The following is a 16,761-nucleotide window of genomic DNA, read 5'->3' as shown; positions in this document are numbered from 1 at the left end:
TTTTTTTTTTTTTTTTTCTAATTCAGTGAAGAATGATGGTGGTATTTTGATGGAAATTGCATTGAATTGCTAGATTGCTTTTGGCAGTATGGTCATTTTGACAATATTGATTCTACCCATCCATGAGCATGATGTGTTTCAATTTGTGTTGTCTATGATTTCTTTCAGCAGTGTTTTGTTGTAGAGGTCTTCCACATCGATGGTTAGGTATATTCCTAAGTATTTTATTTTTATTTTTTTCAGCTATTGTAAAAGGCATTGAGCTCTTGATTTGATTCTCAGCTTGGCTGCTGTTGGCATATAGCAGAGCTACTGACTTTTGCATATTAATTTTGTAACCTGAAACTATGATGAATTCATTTATCCGTTCTAGGAGCTTTTTTGTCTTCATGTATACAATCATATCATCAGCAAACAGTGACAGTTTGACTTCCTCCTTACCAATTTGGATGCCCTTTATTTCTTTCTGTTGTCTGATTGCTCTGGGTAGGACTTCCAGTACTATGCTGAATAGAAGTGGTGAGAGTGGGCATCCTTGCCTTGTTCCAGTTCTCAGGGGAAATGGTTTCGAGTTTTCCCCATTTATAATATTGGCTGTGGGTTTGTCATAGACAGGTTTTATTACCTTAAAGTATGTCCCTTGTATGCCAATTTTGTTGAGGATTTTAATCATAAAGAGATGCTGGATTTTGTCAAATGCTTTTTCTGTGTCTATTGAGATGATCATGTGATTTTTAATTCTGCTTATGTGGTGTATCACATTTACTGACTTACGTGTTAAACTATCCCTGTATCCCTGGTATGAAACCCAGTTGATCATGGTGTATTATCTTTTTGACATAAGGATTTTTGCATCTATGATGATCAGGGATATTGATCTGTAGTTTTCTATTTTTGTTATGTCATTTCCTGGTTTTGGTATTAGGATGATACTGGCTTCATTGAAGGATTTAGGGAGGATTCCCTCTTTCTCTGTCTTTTTGAGTAGTGTCAGTAGAATTGGTACCAATTCTTCTTTAAATGTCTGATAGAATTCAGCTGTGAATCCATGTGATCCTCGACTTTTTTTTTGTTGGCAATTTTTAAATAACCATTTTAATCTCGCTGCTCATTATTGGTCTGTTCAGACGTTCTATATTTCTTGGTTTACTCTAGGAGGGTTGCATATTTCCAGGAATTTATCCCTCTCCTCTAGATTTTCTAGTTTATGCATGTAAAGGTGTTCATCATAGCCTTGAATGGTCTTTTGTATTTCTGTGGTATCAGTTGTAATATCTCCTGTTTTGTTTCTAATTGAACTTATTTGGATCTTCTCTCTTCTTTTCTTGTTTAATCATGCTAATGGTCTATCGATTTTACTTATATTTTCAAAGAACCAGCATTTTGTTTCATTTATCTTTTGTATTTTTCTTTTTTTGTTTCAATTTTATTTAGTTCTCCTCTTTGTTATTTCTTTTCTTCTGCTGGATGTGGGTTTGGATTGTTTTTGTTTCTTCAGTTCTCTGAAGTGTGACCTAAGATTGTCTATTTGTGCTCTTTCAGACTTTTTAATCTAGTCATTTAATACTATGAACTTTCTTCTTATCTCTTAGTTTTTTCTGTATCTCAGAGGTTTTGATAGGTTGTGTCACTACTATCATTTAGTTCAAAGAATTTTTAAATTTCCATCTTGATTTCGTTGTTGAGCCAGCAATCATTCAGGAGCAGGTTTTTTGATTTCCATGTATTTGCATGGTTTTGAGGATTCCTTTTTGAACTCATCTCCAATTTTATTCCACTGTGGTCTGAGAGACTAATTGACATAATTTTGATTTTCTTAAATTTACTGAGACTTGTTTTGTGGCCTATCATATAGTCTATCTTGGAGGATGTTCTGTGTGCTGATGAACAGAATGTACATTCTGGAGTTGTTGGGTAGAATGCTCTGTAGATATCTGTTAGGTCCATTTGTTCTAGGTTTTAGTTTAAGTCCATTGTTTCTTTGTTGACTTTCTGTCTTGATGACCTATCTAGCACTGTCAGTGGAGTATTAAAGTATCCCACTGTTATTGTGTTGTCATGTATCTCATTCCTTAGGTCTAGTATTAATTGTTTTATAAACTTGGGAGCTCCAATGTTAGGTGCATATATATTTAGAATTGTGATATTTTCCTGTTGGACTAGTCCTTTTATCATTATATAATATCCCTCTTTGTCTTTTTAAACTGCTGTTGCTTTAAAGTTTGTTTTGTCTGATATAAGAATATCTACTCCTGCTCACTTTTGATATCCATTTGCATTGAATATCTTTTTCCACCTTTTTACCTTAAGTTTATATGAGTCCTCATGTGTTAGGCAAGTCTCCTGAGGACAGCAGAAACTTAGTTGGTGAATTTTTATCTATTCTGCCATTCTGTATATTTTAGGTGGAGCATTTAGGCCATTTACATTCAATGTTATTATTGAGATATGAGGTACTGTTCTATTCATCATGCTATTTGTTGCCTGAATACCTTGTTTTTTGTTTCCATTGTGTTATTGTTTTACAGGTCCTGTGAGATTTATGCTTTGAGGAGGTTCTATTTTGGTGTGTTTTGAAAATTTGTTTCAAGATTTAGAGCTCCTTTTAGCAGTTCTTGTAGCGCTGGCTTGGTAGTGGTGAATTCTCTCAGCATTTGTTTGTCTGGAAGAGACTGTATCTTTCCTTTGTTTATGAAGCTTAGTTTCACTGGATATGAAATTCTTGGGGGATAATTGTTTTGTTTAAGGAGGCTAAAAATAAGACTCCAATTCCTTCTAGCTTGTAAGGTTTCTGCTGATAAATTTGCTGTTGCTCTGATAGGTTTTCCTTCATAGGTTACCTGATGCTTTTGCCTCACAGCTCTTAAAATTTCCTTCGTCTTGACTTTAGATAACATGATGACTATGTGCCTAGGTGATGATCTTTTTGTGATGAATTTCCCAGGTGTTCTTTGAGTTTCTTATATTTGGATGTCTAGAGTTCTAGGAATGCTTGGGAAGTTATCTTTGATTATTCCCTCAAGTATGTTTTCAAAACTTTTAGATTTCTCTTCTTCTTCAGGAACATCAAGTATTCTTAGGTTTATCCATTTAACATAGTCCCAAACTTCTTGAAGGCTTTGTTCTTTTTAAAAATTCCTTTCTGTTTGTCTTTGATGGATTGAGTTAATTCAAAAGCCTTGTCTTTGAGCTCCAGAGTTCTTTCCTCTGCTTTTTGATTCTATTGCTGAGATTTTCCAGTGCATTTTGCATTTTTCTAAGTGTGTCTTTGATTTCCAGAAGTTGTGATTTTTTTAAATTTGTGCTGTGTATTTCACTGAAGAATTTCTCCTTCACATTCTGTATCATGTTTTTGAATACTTTAAGTTGGCCTTCACCTTTCTCTGGTGCCTCCTTGATTGTCTTAGTAATTGACCTTCTGAATTCTTTTTGTGGCAATGCAGAGATTTCATCTTGGTTTGGATCCATTGCTGGTGAGCTGGTATGATCTTTTGGGGGTGTTAAAGAACCTTGTTTTGTCATATTACCAGAATTGTTTTTTCCGGGTCTTTCTCATTTGGGTAGACTATGTTAGAGGGAAGATCTGGGATTAAAGCGTTGCTATTCAGGTTCTTTTGTCCTATGGGGTGCTCCCTTGATGTGGTGTTCTCTCCCTTTCCCTAGCAATAAGGGTTCCTGAGAACTGAACCATAGTTATTGTTTTTGCTCTTCTGGGTCCAGCCACCCAGCAGGGCTACTGGTATTCTGGCTGGCATTGGAGGCTGTCTGCAAAGAGTCCTGTGATGTGAGTCATCTTCAGGTCTTGCAGCCTGGATATCAGCACCTGCTCCAGTGGTGTTAGTTGGGGAGTGAAGTGGACACTGTGAAGGTCCTTGGTTGTGCTTTTGTTTAGTGTGCAGTTTTTGGGTTAGTTGGCCTCCAGCCAAGTGGTGGCACTTTCAAGAGCACACCAGCTGCAGTCCTATAGGGAGGATGCAAACTTGCCCTAAGCACAGCTGTTTAAGTATTCAGGTTTCTCAGGCAGTGGCTGGGGCCTTAGAGTTTTCAAGAAATTAAGACCTTTGTCTTTGGCTACCAGGGTGGATAGAAAAAGACTACCAGGTAGGGGCAGGGATAGCCATTTCTGAGCTCAGCCTCTCTTTGAGTGGGGCTTGCTGTGGCTGCTGTGGAGAATGGGGGTGTGGTTCCCAGTCCAGTGGAGTTATATTCCCAAGGGGATTAGAGCTGCCTCTGCTGAGTCATACAGGTCACCAGGGAAGTAGGGAAAACCCAGCAGTAACAAGCCTCAACCTGCTCTTACACAGCCTGCAGTCCTAAAGGCTGGTCTCACTCCCACCACGCCCCCCTCCAATAGCACTGAGTTTATTTCCGGGCAGCCAGTGATCAAGACTGAGAACTTATCCCAGACTGCATGCCTCCTCGTTGAAAAACCAAGCCGACTCAGTTTTTTAGCATCTCAAGGAGCTTTCAGTGGTGATCCAGTTCCTTCAAAGGGACTGTGGATTCTCTTGGCTTTCCTGGTATGTTCCTTTGGTAGTTCTTGGAGCACAAGTTCACCATGTGAGTTTTCACATGCTGCTCTGTCCATCTGAGCAGGAGCTGCAAGCTAGTTCTGCCACCTATCTGCCATCTTCAGGTTTTTCTTTTTCTTTTTTTTCTTTTTTGCAAGGTCTGATATGGTTTGGATTTATGTCCCCATCCAAATATCATGTCAAATTGTAATCCCCAATTTGGAGGTGAGGCTTAGTAGGAGTTGATCAGATCATGGGGACAGATTTCCCCCTTGCTGTTCTTTTGATAGTGAATAAGTTCTCGGGAGATGTGGTTGCTTAAAAGTCTGTGGCACCTCCCACCTGTCTCTTCCTTCTTCTCTGGCTATGTAAGATGTGCCTGCTTCTCCTTTGCCTTCCTGCCATTATTGTAAGTTTGCTGAGGCCTCCTCAGCCGGACTTCCTGTACAGCTTGTTGAACTGTAAGTCAATTAAACCTTTTTTCTTTATCAATTACCCAGTCTCAGGTAGTTCTTCATAGGATTGCAAGAAGGGACGGTCTCATTTGAGACACGGTCTCATTTTATTTGTCCTGTATTAGTCCTAGGCTGGAGTGCAGTGGCATGATCTGAGCTTACTGCAGCCTGGATCTCCTAGGCTAGAGTGATCCTCCCACCTCAGCCTCCCTAGTAGGTAGGACTACAGGTGTGCGCCAACACACCCAGCTAATTTTTAATTTTTTTTTTTGGTAGCGACATGGTCTCGCTATGTTGCCTAGGCTGGTCTAGGACTCCTGGCCTTAAACGGTCCTACTGCCTTGGCCTCCCAAAGTGTTGGGATTGCAGGTGTGAGCTATCATGCCTGGCCTGCTTGTTAGGTTTTAAAAATACAACTCTTAGCACTTGTATTCTGTTACTTCTATACCTTTAATTGTACTCAGTGATCACTGCTAACTCAATGTTGTACTCCCTGCATTTAGTAGACACCACTCTATTTTCTGCTTTTATTAAATGTAGAAGAAAAATCTTTTTGATTTTTGCATCTTTGAGAGTAATTTTGTCTTTCTACTAATTGGTTTTATTAATAATCAAATTTTGTCTTTCTATTAATCAGTTTTATTTTTAATGAAAATGCATATTGAAATTTGATATTTTACCAGGTCTTGAGTTCTAAAAACTTGTTAATTCAACTATCCATTCGAAGGTATTTTTTGACTCAGTGTTATTTACCAAACACTGTGCCTAGGGCCAACTGAGAATCAATGGTGAGTCAAAATAGATGAAGTCCCTGCCCTCTTGGAGTTACAGTCTACTTAGGGCACGATCTGTTGAATAAATGATCACACCCACAAATGTAAAACTCGGGTTTTGATCAGAGGTTTATGGGAAGCTATATATTGATACAGATCTAACTTGAGGGATAGGACTCCGTGGGCAGGGGCTGGTCAGGGAAGTCTTCACTAAGGCAGAGACAGTTACATTGAAGGCTGAGAGATGATTGGGAGTTCAGCAGGCAAAGGGAGAGGGAAGGCAGAGGCATCCTGTGTGCAGTCTGGAAAGAGGGGGATGTGGGGCTGAAGAAAGTACAGTTAGGCAGATGTGGAGGGTGATCCGTGTGTGGTGCACTTGATGCTGGAGTCATAGATGGAGCCAGATCTTGTAGTTGGCCATGTTAAGGAGCTAGGATTAGTAAAAACCAAAAATGTCCTATGTGCAAGTGTAACACATGGAATGCTTTTAAGCAGGATGAGGCTGGGAGTGTGCCTGTGGCACAATTAGGTTTGTGTTTTGAAAAGATACACACAGCGGTATCAAGTTAGTTTTTGTTTTAAACTACATAAATTAGATCCTTCTTTTGTTAAAAACTTCCTTTTGTTAAAAAGGCTTCCTTTTGCACTTAGAATAAATTCCAAACTTCTCACCATGGCTTCAAGGCTCTACCTGATATAGTCTCTATACTTCTGCATCTCACTTTGTCCACTGCCTTCTAGCAAAATGGGCCTCAAACGTTCAATCACATTCTCAATTTAGAGTTTTTGAGCTTTTGGTGCCCAGTGACTGAAAGCTCTTTTCACAGTTCTCCAAATGGCTATCTCCTTCTTTTCAGATAGGTTTCAGCTTAACCAAGAAGCCTCCTTGGCCACTTCTTTAAAGAAACCACCCCTCCCTTAGTCACTCTCTCTCACATCATTTTAATTTTTAATATAATTATTATTACAACTATCACATGTGAAATTATCCTAATTTATTCATGATTGCTTTATGGTAGCAGATGGAGGCACTCAATAATTTGTCTTACTGAATAAACAGTTGAAATATAAAGGGCAGATTGGAAACGGGTTAGTGTGGATACATCAAGAGCTTTTAGGAGATGTTGCTGGAGTCTTGGTCAGAAATGAGCGTAGCTTAAACTAGGGGCATGGTGGAAGATATAGGGATGTGTATGGATGAATAAATATTTAGAAGATAAAATCAATAGTCTTTGGTGATGGATTAATTATGGGAGTGACAAAGATGGGGCTGTTAAGATTTTAATATTTCTTGAAACATTGGAATTTCTCTATCTTAAATGTCAGAATTTTTTCCTTGTTGCTTTGTTTTTGGAGTTTTGTTCACTTTTTTTCTGTTATTCCTTTTGTTCCATATATTCTATCTTCTTCGCAGATACCTATTATGTATGAGCCAAATCTATTCTGTCTTTCACGTCTACCATTTTCTCTCACATCTTAAAAATAAAATTTTCTTATTGATTTACTTTGCATTCTACAATTATTTCTCAAGTTTGTACTCTGAAGCATTGGTTTAAATAGTTAATACTATCAAGTTTACATCTTATTGCTTCCAATGAATATTTTAGTCACTTTGATTTTGATTTTATTGTATTCTCTTCCTATTCTGAATTGTTCTTTAAATATAAAAGAACTATTCTCGTTTATCTCATTGAGGTTAGAACTATATATTTAAAATTTTTCTTCTGATTTACAAGAAAATCTTTTCTAGGAAAAGGAATTCATACTAAAGCTAATCATTCATTTCCTTCTTTCTAAGGTTTTTCTTCTATATGTTTTTCTCTTTCAAAGATTTTCCTTCAGTCTCATCACCTTTGTGTCTTATCTGACTGATCTTCAACTGTTCTAAAAATGAGTTTAAGGATTATTTGAATGGTGAGACATCCATTTCTAGACTTTATCTCCCAGACCAGTAGTCTATGCTGTGCAGGGAGATGCCAGATTATTGGTTGTTGGTATAAGCCTCTACTCGTATTTTCAAACAACCCAAAGAAATCTAACCAGGTTTGGGCTGAAAACCACAGCTTCATATGTATGAGTGAAGTTGTTTTGTTGAAGAAAAGATAAAGGGCCAGAGGCTATTTCATTGCTTGCTTGAACCTAGAAAATGGGATTTTGAGGCTGGGTCACTGCACAAAGATGAAAGGAAAGAAAAACCTAGAAAACACTCTGATAACTTTGTTTTATACCACTCACTGTGATTGCAGTGAGGACTGTCTTTTCTGATGGTTTCATGGGTGCTTTAAGGGGGAATTAAGGAAAGTTGGTTTTACATGCTTTCGTTCAATTTACTGTCATTTCTAACACAAAAGTTGCAACTAATTTAAATTGAGGGTTAGAGGACAGATATTTCACTGATAGCATAGTTTCACTACTAATTCCTTACCTTCAGATATATTTTGGAATATCATGACCTTTTTCCTGTTAGTGGTTAGATTGCTTTTTACATTCTTCCTGTCTTATACAGCATCTAAGATCAGGCATGTCCTTCTACTAAGAGTTTCAAAATCCTATATGTGGGGAGCACATTTTCCATGAAAGTTGAATTTGTTTTGATTGGCAAAGTCCCTGCTTGCGTCAATTTAGTTCATCTCCAGTTTCCCAAACTCTTGAATTTAGTACTAGATATAGTTATTAAATTGGCTATTCACAATCAATACTTTGAGATATGCTGGCAGTCAGTATTATTAAATTGCATGCATATTAGTTACTTTGTGCCCAGAGGTAATTTTACCATAAAGGATGCAATTTAATGAGTTACATAAAATAAATAAATGATGCTTAGTTAAACTTTTGAATATTTATGAGGCAGTTCAACAGTGATTAGATGATATGAGGTGAGAAAGTTTAAAATGCAGAAGAAACATAATAATGGATATTAGTTACTGAATAAATTTGTATTTATTTTTCCTAGAAGCTGTTATTGCTGCATAAAGAAAATATACTGAAGATTAGCTATAAATATAATTAAATATTTTCCTAACACATGTAGTTCAGTGTATGTCTTTTACAAATATTAGTTGCCTTCTTCATATTCTTTATTGAAACATTTTGAAAGAGAGAATATTGAATAGAAAAAATTCTAAGAGCATTTAATTATAACTGATGTACTTGAATATGTTTTGTGAGATGACCTGTAAATTGAGAAAAGAAATTTTATTTGAGGAACGCAAGTCCTTTTGATTATTATAGCCAGAGAAACATTAAAATGAGACTGCAACCATGCCCCACTTCCCCTTTGAGCAATGTATTTATCTTTTGAAACTGCTTGCTATTGCTACAAGTAGCTACTAATTAATAATGCCACATCAGACACTATAACCCTATAGCTTCACAATGTATAGCCATTCACTAATCAATGCTATTTCTGTAAATAAATGAGAATTCCTGAGAAAGGACTTTGTATCAGCCCACTCCCTTCCCACCGCTGCCCTTTCTTTGCCTTTAAAAATCTATTTGTTACTGCTACTAATCAGAGTGTATATTCAGGGCAACTTGAATCTATACTCCTGGGTTGCAGTCCTCAAACTTGGCCCAAATGAACACTTTATCTATATTCGTTTTCCTAAGCTTCTTCCTTTTAGGTTGACATATTACAATATTGTTTAATATATCTTAATTTAATGAAAGAACAAAAGTTTTGATCTGAAATACTTTCAGGTAGAAGAATATTAATCTTTAAAATTTACTAACTAGTTAATGATATTATATGACATAGTCTGTATGAGATGCTGGGAAGAGAGAATTTTGGAGATGTATAGCCTTAATATATATACTGGAAAAAAATAAAAGCCAAAAGTCAGTGAATATCCATCTTAAGATGTTCAAAATAGAGCAATAAATTTTAAACCTAAATAAAGTAGAAAGAAGGATATAAAAATGACAGGAACAACAAAATGAATTGGAAAAAGAAACATTAAGAAAATGAATAAAGACAAAGTTAATGCTTTGAAAAGATCACATATTTTGTAAATCTCTTTTAATCAAGAGTGATGAAAAGAAGGGGGGGGGAGGAGGACATATAAATACTGACAGAAAGAAAATATCCCACAGATCTTACAGATATTAAGAAAATGATGGAAATGTGGATGAGTGAAATGATTATACAAACCCCGACCCAAATGAGAATTTTAAAATCATGGCAAGCATCCAAAAGCAGACAGAAGCTAGAGGAGAGTTTACTCTTGAAAGTCTGAAACTGCAACAGTAAGAATTGTGAGTTTGTGGCTTATTTTGTTTGTGAATGTTCTTCAATCCCTCTGGCAATGGTGGCAAAAGATTGCAGCTTGATCAGTTGGAGTAGCAAAGGAAGTTAATCAGAAAGAGCCGTTGAAAACACAAAATAGAAATTCAAGAAGCGAGAAAGGATAAGAGCCACAATCTGAGTATAAAGCCTGTTAAATCCTTGGCTGAATGATAAACTATGCTTGCTCAGAGATAAACATTGGAGAACCTAGTAATGTAGGCAGAGACCAAGAGAAACATTGAAGACAGAGTTACATTAGGTATGCTTTTTTAGTTCGCAGCTTTTTACACTGAGGACATTTTCTAACCTGCATGTTCTCAGGAAGCAGAGAGGTGGCAATTTTTAAAAAGCATATACTTTAGAGATTTTTAATGAGATATGTTCTGTGAAACAATATAATGGCTGACAGTTGCTTCAAAATAATATAGGAGATTGACTAAGTGGCATTATACACAAAACAGATTATTCATTGATTCATAATAGATTAAGGTAAGTGCTAAGTTTATAGAAATTCACTATACTCTTCTGTATATTATATATCAGATATTTTTAAAAATTTTCATAACACAAAGTTAAATCTAAATTAAATACAGGATAAGTTAAAATGGCACCAAATAGTAAAACAGAGAAAAATCTAAGAAAAGACTATCAAGACCTGTATACTGACAAAGCTCAAAGAAGGCTTAAAAAAAAGTGGAATATACCATGATTATGAATTAGGAGACTCAATATGGTAAAATAGATAATTCTCCTGAAATTGCTTTATATAGTGTTATTCATAACAGACCCAACTGGAAACAACCTTAATGTATGTCAATGGTAGAATGATAAATTACTTGTGGGGTACTCTTACGATGTAGTTTAGAAGACAGCATTACGAGGCCGGGCGCAGTGGCTCATGCCTGTAATCCCAGCACTTTGGGAGGCCAAGACGGCCGGATCATGAGGTCAGGAGATCGAGACCATCCTGGCTAACATGGTGAAACCATGTCTCTACTAAAAATACAAAAAATTAGCCGGGCGTAGTGGCGGGCGCCTGTAGTCCCAGCTATTCGGGAGGCTGAGGCAGGAAAATGGCGTGAACCCAGGAGGCGGAGCTTGCAGTGAGCTGAGATCGCGCCACTGCACTCCAGCCTGGGCGACAGAGCGAGACTCCGTCTAAAAAAAAAAAAAGACGGCATTACCTACAGTTGCATGTAACAATATGGGTGACTCTTACCAACATAGTGTTGAGTGAAAAATAACAAGACATAAAAAGCTCCAGATGATTTCAAAAACTGGTAAAAACCAACTAGTGTTGTTAGAAGTCAGGATAGTGAAAGAGAAGGGAATACTGTCGGACTCATTTTACAAGCACAGCATCACCCTGATACCAAAGCCAGGCAAGGACACACACACACAAAAATATCTATATGCCAATATCCCTGATTAATATACATGCAAAAACCCTCAAGAAAATACTAGCAAGGCAAATTCAACAGCACATTTAAATAATCATTCATTATTATCAAGTGTGGGGATGTAAGGATGGTTTAATATTTGCAAATCAATAAATGTAATACATCATCTCACTGGAATGAAAGACAAAAACCATATGATCATTTCAGTAAATGCAAAAAAGCATTTGACAAATTCAACATTTTTTCATGGTAAAAATTCTCAACAAATTAGGTATAGAAGAAAAGTACCTCAACACAATAAAGGCCGTAAATAACAAACACACAACTAACATCATTCTAAACAGGGAAAAGCCGAAGGCTTTTCCTTTAAGGTCTGGAAAAAGACAAGGATGCATACTCTTGCCACTTCTCTTCAATATAGTACTGGAAGTCCTAGCCAGAGCAAATACACAAGGGAAAGAAAAAGCTTTAGAATTGAAAAGGATGAAGTTAATTGTCCCTGTTTGCAGGTGACATAATCTAACATATAGGAAACCCTGATGACTTTGCCAAAAAACTCTTAGGAATGATAAGCAAATTCATGAAAATTACAAGATAAAAAAATCAACATACAAAATTTAGTAGTGTTTTTATACACCAGTAGTGAACTACCTGAAAAAGAAATCAGGAAACCAATCCTATTTAAAATAGCTACCAAAAAAAAAAAAAAATACTTAGGAATAAGTTAAGCAAGAAGGTGAAGGATTTCTAAATTAAACACTATAAAACATTGATTAAAAAAATCAAAGAAGACATAAATAAATGGAAAAAAATCCTATGTTCATGGACTGGAAAAATTAATGTTAAAATGTCCATAGTATCTAAAAGGACCTATAGAGTCATTGTACTATCAAAATTCTAATGACATTTTTTACAGAAATAGAAAACACAATCATAAAATTCATAGAGAACTACAAAAGTCCCCAAATAGCCAAAGCAATCTTGAGCAAAAAGAATAAAATTGGAGGTATCAAACTACCCGACTTCAAAATTTACTGCAAAGCTATAGTAACAAAAACAGCATGCTATTGGTATAAAAACAGATACATAGATCAATGAAACAGAATAAAACACCGGGAAATTAATCCACATATTTATGATCAATTGATTTTTGACAAAGGTGCCAAGAACACACAATGGGGAAAGGATAGTCTCTTTAATAAATGGTTCTGCAAAAACTGGATATCCACATGCAGAAGACTGAAATTAGACCTTCAGCTTCCACCATGTAAAAAAATCAATGCAAACTGTATGAAAGATGTAAACATAAGATATAAAACTGTAAAACTACTAGAAGAAAATGTAGAGAAAAGCTCTATGACCTTGGTCTGGGCAATGAGTTTTTGGATATGACCCAAAAAAAACCACAGGCAACAAAAGCAAAAACAAACAAACAAAAAAACCAAATGGGATTACATCAAACTACAAAGTTTTTGCACAGCAAAAGCCACAATCAACAGAGTGAAAAAAAATCCTACAGAATGGGCAAAAATATCTGCAAACTCTACATTTGATAAGGGATTAACATTCAAAATATATATGCAACTCAACTCAATAGCAAGAAAACAAATTAACCGATTAAAAAATGGGCAAAGGACTTGAATGGACATTTCTTAAAAGTAGAGATACAAATGGCCAACAGGTATATGGAAAAATGCTCAATCTCACTAATCATCAGGGAAATGAAAAGGAAAACCACAATGAGATATCACTGCATACACATTAGAATAACTTTTATCAAAAAGTCAAAAGATAACAAATAGAGAAAAGGGAACCCTTGCACTCCATTGATAGGAATGTAAATTGGTACCACCATTATTGAAAACAGTATGGAGGCTCCCCCCAAAATTAAAAATGGAACTACTATATAATCTGGCAATCTCACTACTTGGTATATATTCGAATAAAATGAAATCAGTATGTCAAAAAGACATCTGCACTCTCATGTTCATTGCAACACTATTCACGATAGCCAACATATGGAATCATATCTTGTCCATCAACAGATGAACAGATAAAGAAAATGTGTTATATAGACACAGCGAAATTCTATTCACCATTCAACTATAAAAAAGAAAGAAATCCTGCCATTTGCAACAACATAAATGAATCTGGAGACCATTATGTTAAGTGAAATAAGCCAGGCACAGAAAGACAAATACCACATGGTCTTACCCATATGTGGACTCTAAGAAAGTTGATCTCATAAAAGTGGAGAGCAAAATGGTGTTTATCAGGGTGAGAATGATTGGGAGGGCTGGGACTAGGGAGCAGTTGGTCAAAGAATACAAAATTTCAGGTAAGATCAATAAGCTCAACATTGTGACTCTAATTAATATATTGCATTCTCTAAAAATGCTGAGAGTGGATTTTCTCACCTAAAAATGATAACTATGTGCAATAATGCATATGCTAATTAGCTAGATTTAGTCATTGTATGATGTATATATACTTCAAAGCATGTACATGATAAATCCATATAATTTCATCTGTCAGAAAAAAGGGAAGTCAGCTGGGCACAGTGGCTCATGCCTGTAATCCCAGCACTTTCAGAGGCTGAGGCAGGTGGATCACCTGAGGTCAGGAGTTCAAGACCAGCCTGGGCAACATGGTGAAACCCGATCCCTACTAAAAATACAAAAATCACCTGGGCACAGTGGTGCGTGCCTGTAATCCCAGCTACTTGGGAGGCTGAGGCAGGAGAATTGCTTGAGCCCAGGAGGCGGAGGTTGCAGTGAGCTGAGATTGCGCCATGGCACTCCAGCCTGGGCAATAGAGCGAGACTCCATCTCAAAAAAAAAAAAAAAAAGAAAAGAAAAAGAAAACAGAAGTCAGGATAGTGTTTTTTTGGGGGTAAGAATAAGGATAATGACTATAGGAGACCCAAACTGGGTCTCTGGGGTTTAGTAATGTTCTGCTTCATGGACTGGATTATGGTTAGACAAGTGTATTTACTTCATAGTAATTCATTCAGCTATTACTATATGTTTATGATTTGTACACTTGTCTGTATGCAGATTTAAAGAAAAAAGCCTTGCCCTTTGGAAAATAAAGTCTCGGCTATTTAGTAATTGGCATTTAGTCAATTAGCAATTAGAATTCTTACAATGCTAAATATAGATTTTGTAAACCTTTTTCTTTTTGTGTTTAAACACTTTATACAATTTCTTCATTTCCTAGTTTATTAAGCAAGCCCATGTCTGTATGTATCTGTGCAACACTCATAGATTTAGTACTCCTCTATCACAAGTACATTGTCAGGTGCTTAAGGTATAAACCCAGCCCTCAAGAGGAAGAAGATTTTTTCACAATTTAGAAATTTTTAAATGGGCTGTTCTCAGAAAATTTCACCAAAAATGTTCAAATATTTGTAAAATAAAATAATTTTTGCACTTTTCTGTGTGCAGATTTGTTAAAAAGCTTTGCCCTTTGGAAAATAATGTCTCAGCACTTTACTAATTGGCAATTAGTCAATTAGTAATTGACAATGTCAATTATAAATAAATTGCTCTCTACATTTGTGATTTCATATTTTTGCGTGGATGCTCTGCTTGTGCAAATGTGCATTATATAATACAGTGAAACTGAGGATGGACATTTGATGAACTCATGGATGGCTGGGTTTAGGGATGAGAAACCCCTGTTTAGAGGTGGTGCAATAAATTCACATTCATGTTGAAGAGTGAAAAAAATGAGACTTTTTTTTTTTTTTTTTTTTTTCTGAGACAGAGTCTCGCTCTATTGCCCAGGCTGGAGTGCAGTGGCGCGATCTCGGCTCACTGCAAGTTCGGCCTCCCGGGTTCACGCCATTCTCCTGCCTCAGCCTACCGAGTAGCTGGGACTACAGGCGCCCACCACCGCGCCCGGCTAATTTTTTGTATTTTTAGTAGAGACGGGGTTTCACTGTGTTAGCCAGGATGCTCTCGATCTCCTGACCTCATGATCCGCCCATCTGGGCCTCCCAAAGTGTTGGGATTACAGGCTTCAGCCATCGCGCCCAGCCGAGAAATACTTCTAAATATGATAAAACATATCATCAATACTTTTTTGGTTCCATTTGTGTTTCAACAATATGTTCAGGAAAATATCCTAAGAGTCTTAAAATGGTTTGTGTCAAAATTTCAGTAGAAAAGAAAATTTTAAAGTTGTTTTAGTTACAGAATTTCAACCATGAAGCCATGCATCTAGAATCAAATGAAACAAAAACACAGTAAAGTGAGTAACTATTTTTGATAAAAATTATAGAGTTGTGTTTCAATAGGACAAGAAAAGAACAGGTTAAACAATTGAAATATTACTTCAATTTGCTTTTGATTTGATGATTTTCAGAAAACGTAATTTTTAGTTGGCCTCAGAGTCTATGAAAATAAGCCAAGAAAGAAATCTAATGATAGTGACATAAAAGCTCTTTGATTTAAATGAGAGTCCTCAGAATTTCAGAAAAGAAAGGATAAAATTGGCATTTTATTTTTTCTTATTGTTTAGTTTCTTATATTCTTACTTTAATGTAGTATTAATAAAAAGCCAAAGAGGCTCTGTAAAATGGCGGCTACCCACACAGCATATGGAAAATAAAACAACCTTTGTTAGCTTTCTGGTAACTAGCTTCATTTTAGCTTCTTTTTCCCCTTTTACTTGTATCTTAAAGTCCATCTTCACACATATACATTTCCTCCCCCCCATACAAAGTAAATACAATCTGCCCAGCATGAGTTATTGTCAGAGAACAGGGAGGCCCATTTATTTTGTCTCCTTCTCTAATGATTAGAGTCAGATCATAAAATAAAGAACAACAGCCTTGTCGCTTCTCCCCTGAAGGAATCCCCACCACGACATCTTTTATAGAGCAAAACACAATTGCTGTCCTTTCAGTGCAATCAATAAGTGGAAATGGCTTTAGTGACATGTCTAAAATGAACTTCTGAGTTGCATATCCTCTGGAAGGTTTAAAATGAACACATGTGAACCTTGCACGTAGCCCAAACAAAGAAGTTGCTAGAGGTGCCTTTTAGTGAGTATTGTAAAATGGGACAAGCTGTTTTGTCTTTTGTTTTTTCTTGATAATAAGCACTAAAATGTTCAGAACTGAAACCAGGACAGTGTGCACTTAAACTCCTGCTACAAAATACATTGTTGCTTATTGTTAAAATGAGTCCAGCTATTAAAAAGATAAAAATACAGTTAATAATTATCTTACAAGAAGGGATGAATGAATACAAGCACCATAAACTTGGCAATCATGGAAGACTTTGTTCCACAGGCAGAATATGAAATATGAATGTTTTAAAAATTACCTCT

At 36.2% G+C, this 16,761-nt stretch overlaps 1 protein-coding gene across 6 annotated transcripts in view, besides 1 other annotated feature; it reads right to left on the bottom strand.

The window, feature by feature from the left end:
- CNTN5 (contactin 5) overlaps nt 1–16,761 on the bottom strand; it is a 1,337,937-nt gene that overhangs the window by 25,460 nt on the left and 1,295,716 nt on the right. The window lies entirely within an intron of this gene.
- Nucleotides 3,660–4,859: an enhancer, noted in NCBI's record as "BRD4-independent group 4 enhancer chr11:100199299-100200498 (GRCh37/hg19 assembly coordinates)". NCBI's record gives its function as "activates an origin of replication core promoter dependent on BRD2, P300/CBP, MED14 and CDK7 cofactors, and independent of BRD4, by STARR-seq in HCT116 cells {active_cell/tissue: HCT116}" and the evidence as "EXISTENCE:reporter gene assay evidence [ECO:0000049][PMID:35650434]".

The sequence above is a fragment of the Homo sapiens genome, chromosome 11, assembly GCF_000001405.40.
Source record: "Homo sapiens chromosome 11, GRCh38.p14 Primary Assembly".
Lineage (NCBI taxonomy): Eukaryota > Metazoa > Chordata > Mammalia > Primates > Hominidae > Homo > Homo sapiens.
Note: the sequence above shows the minus strand (reverse complement) of the source record. Positions and strands in the feature narration are given on the sequence as shown.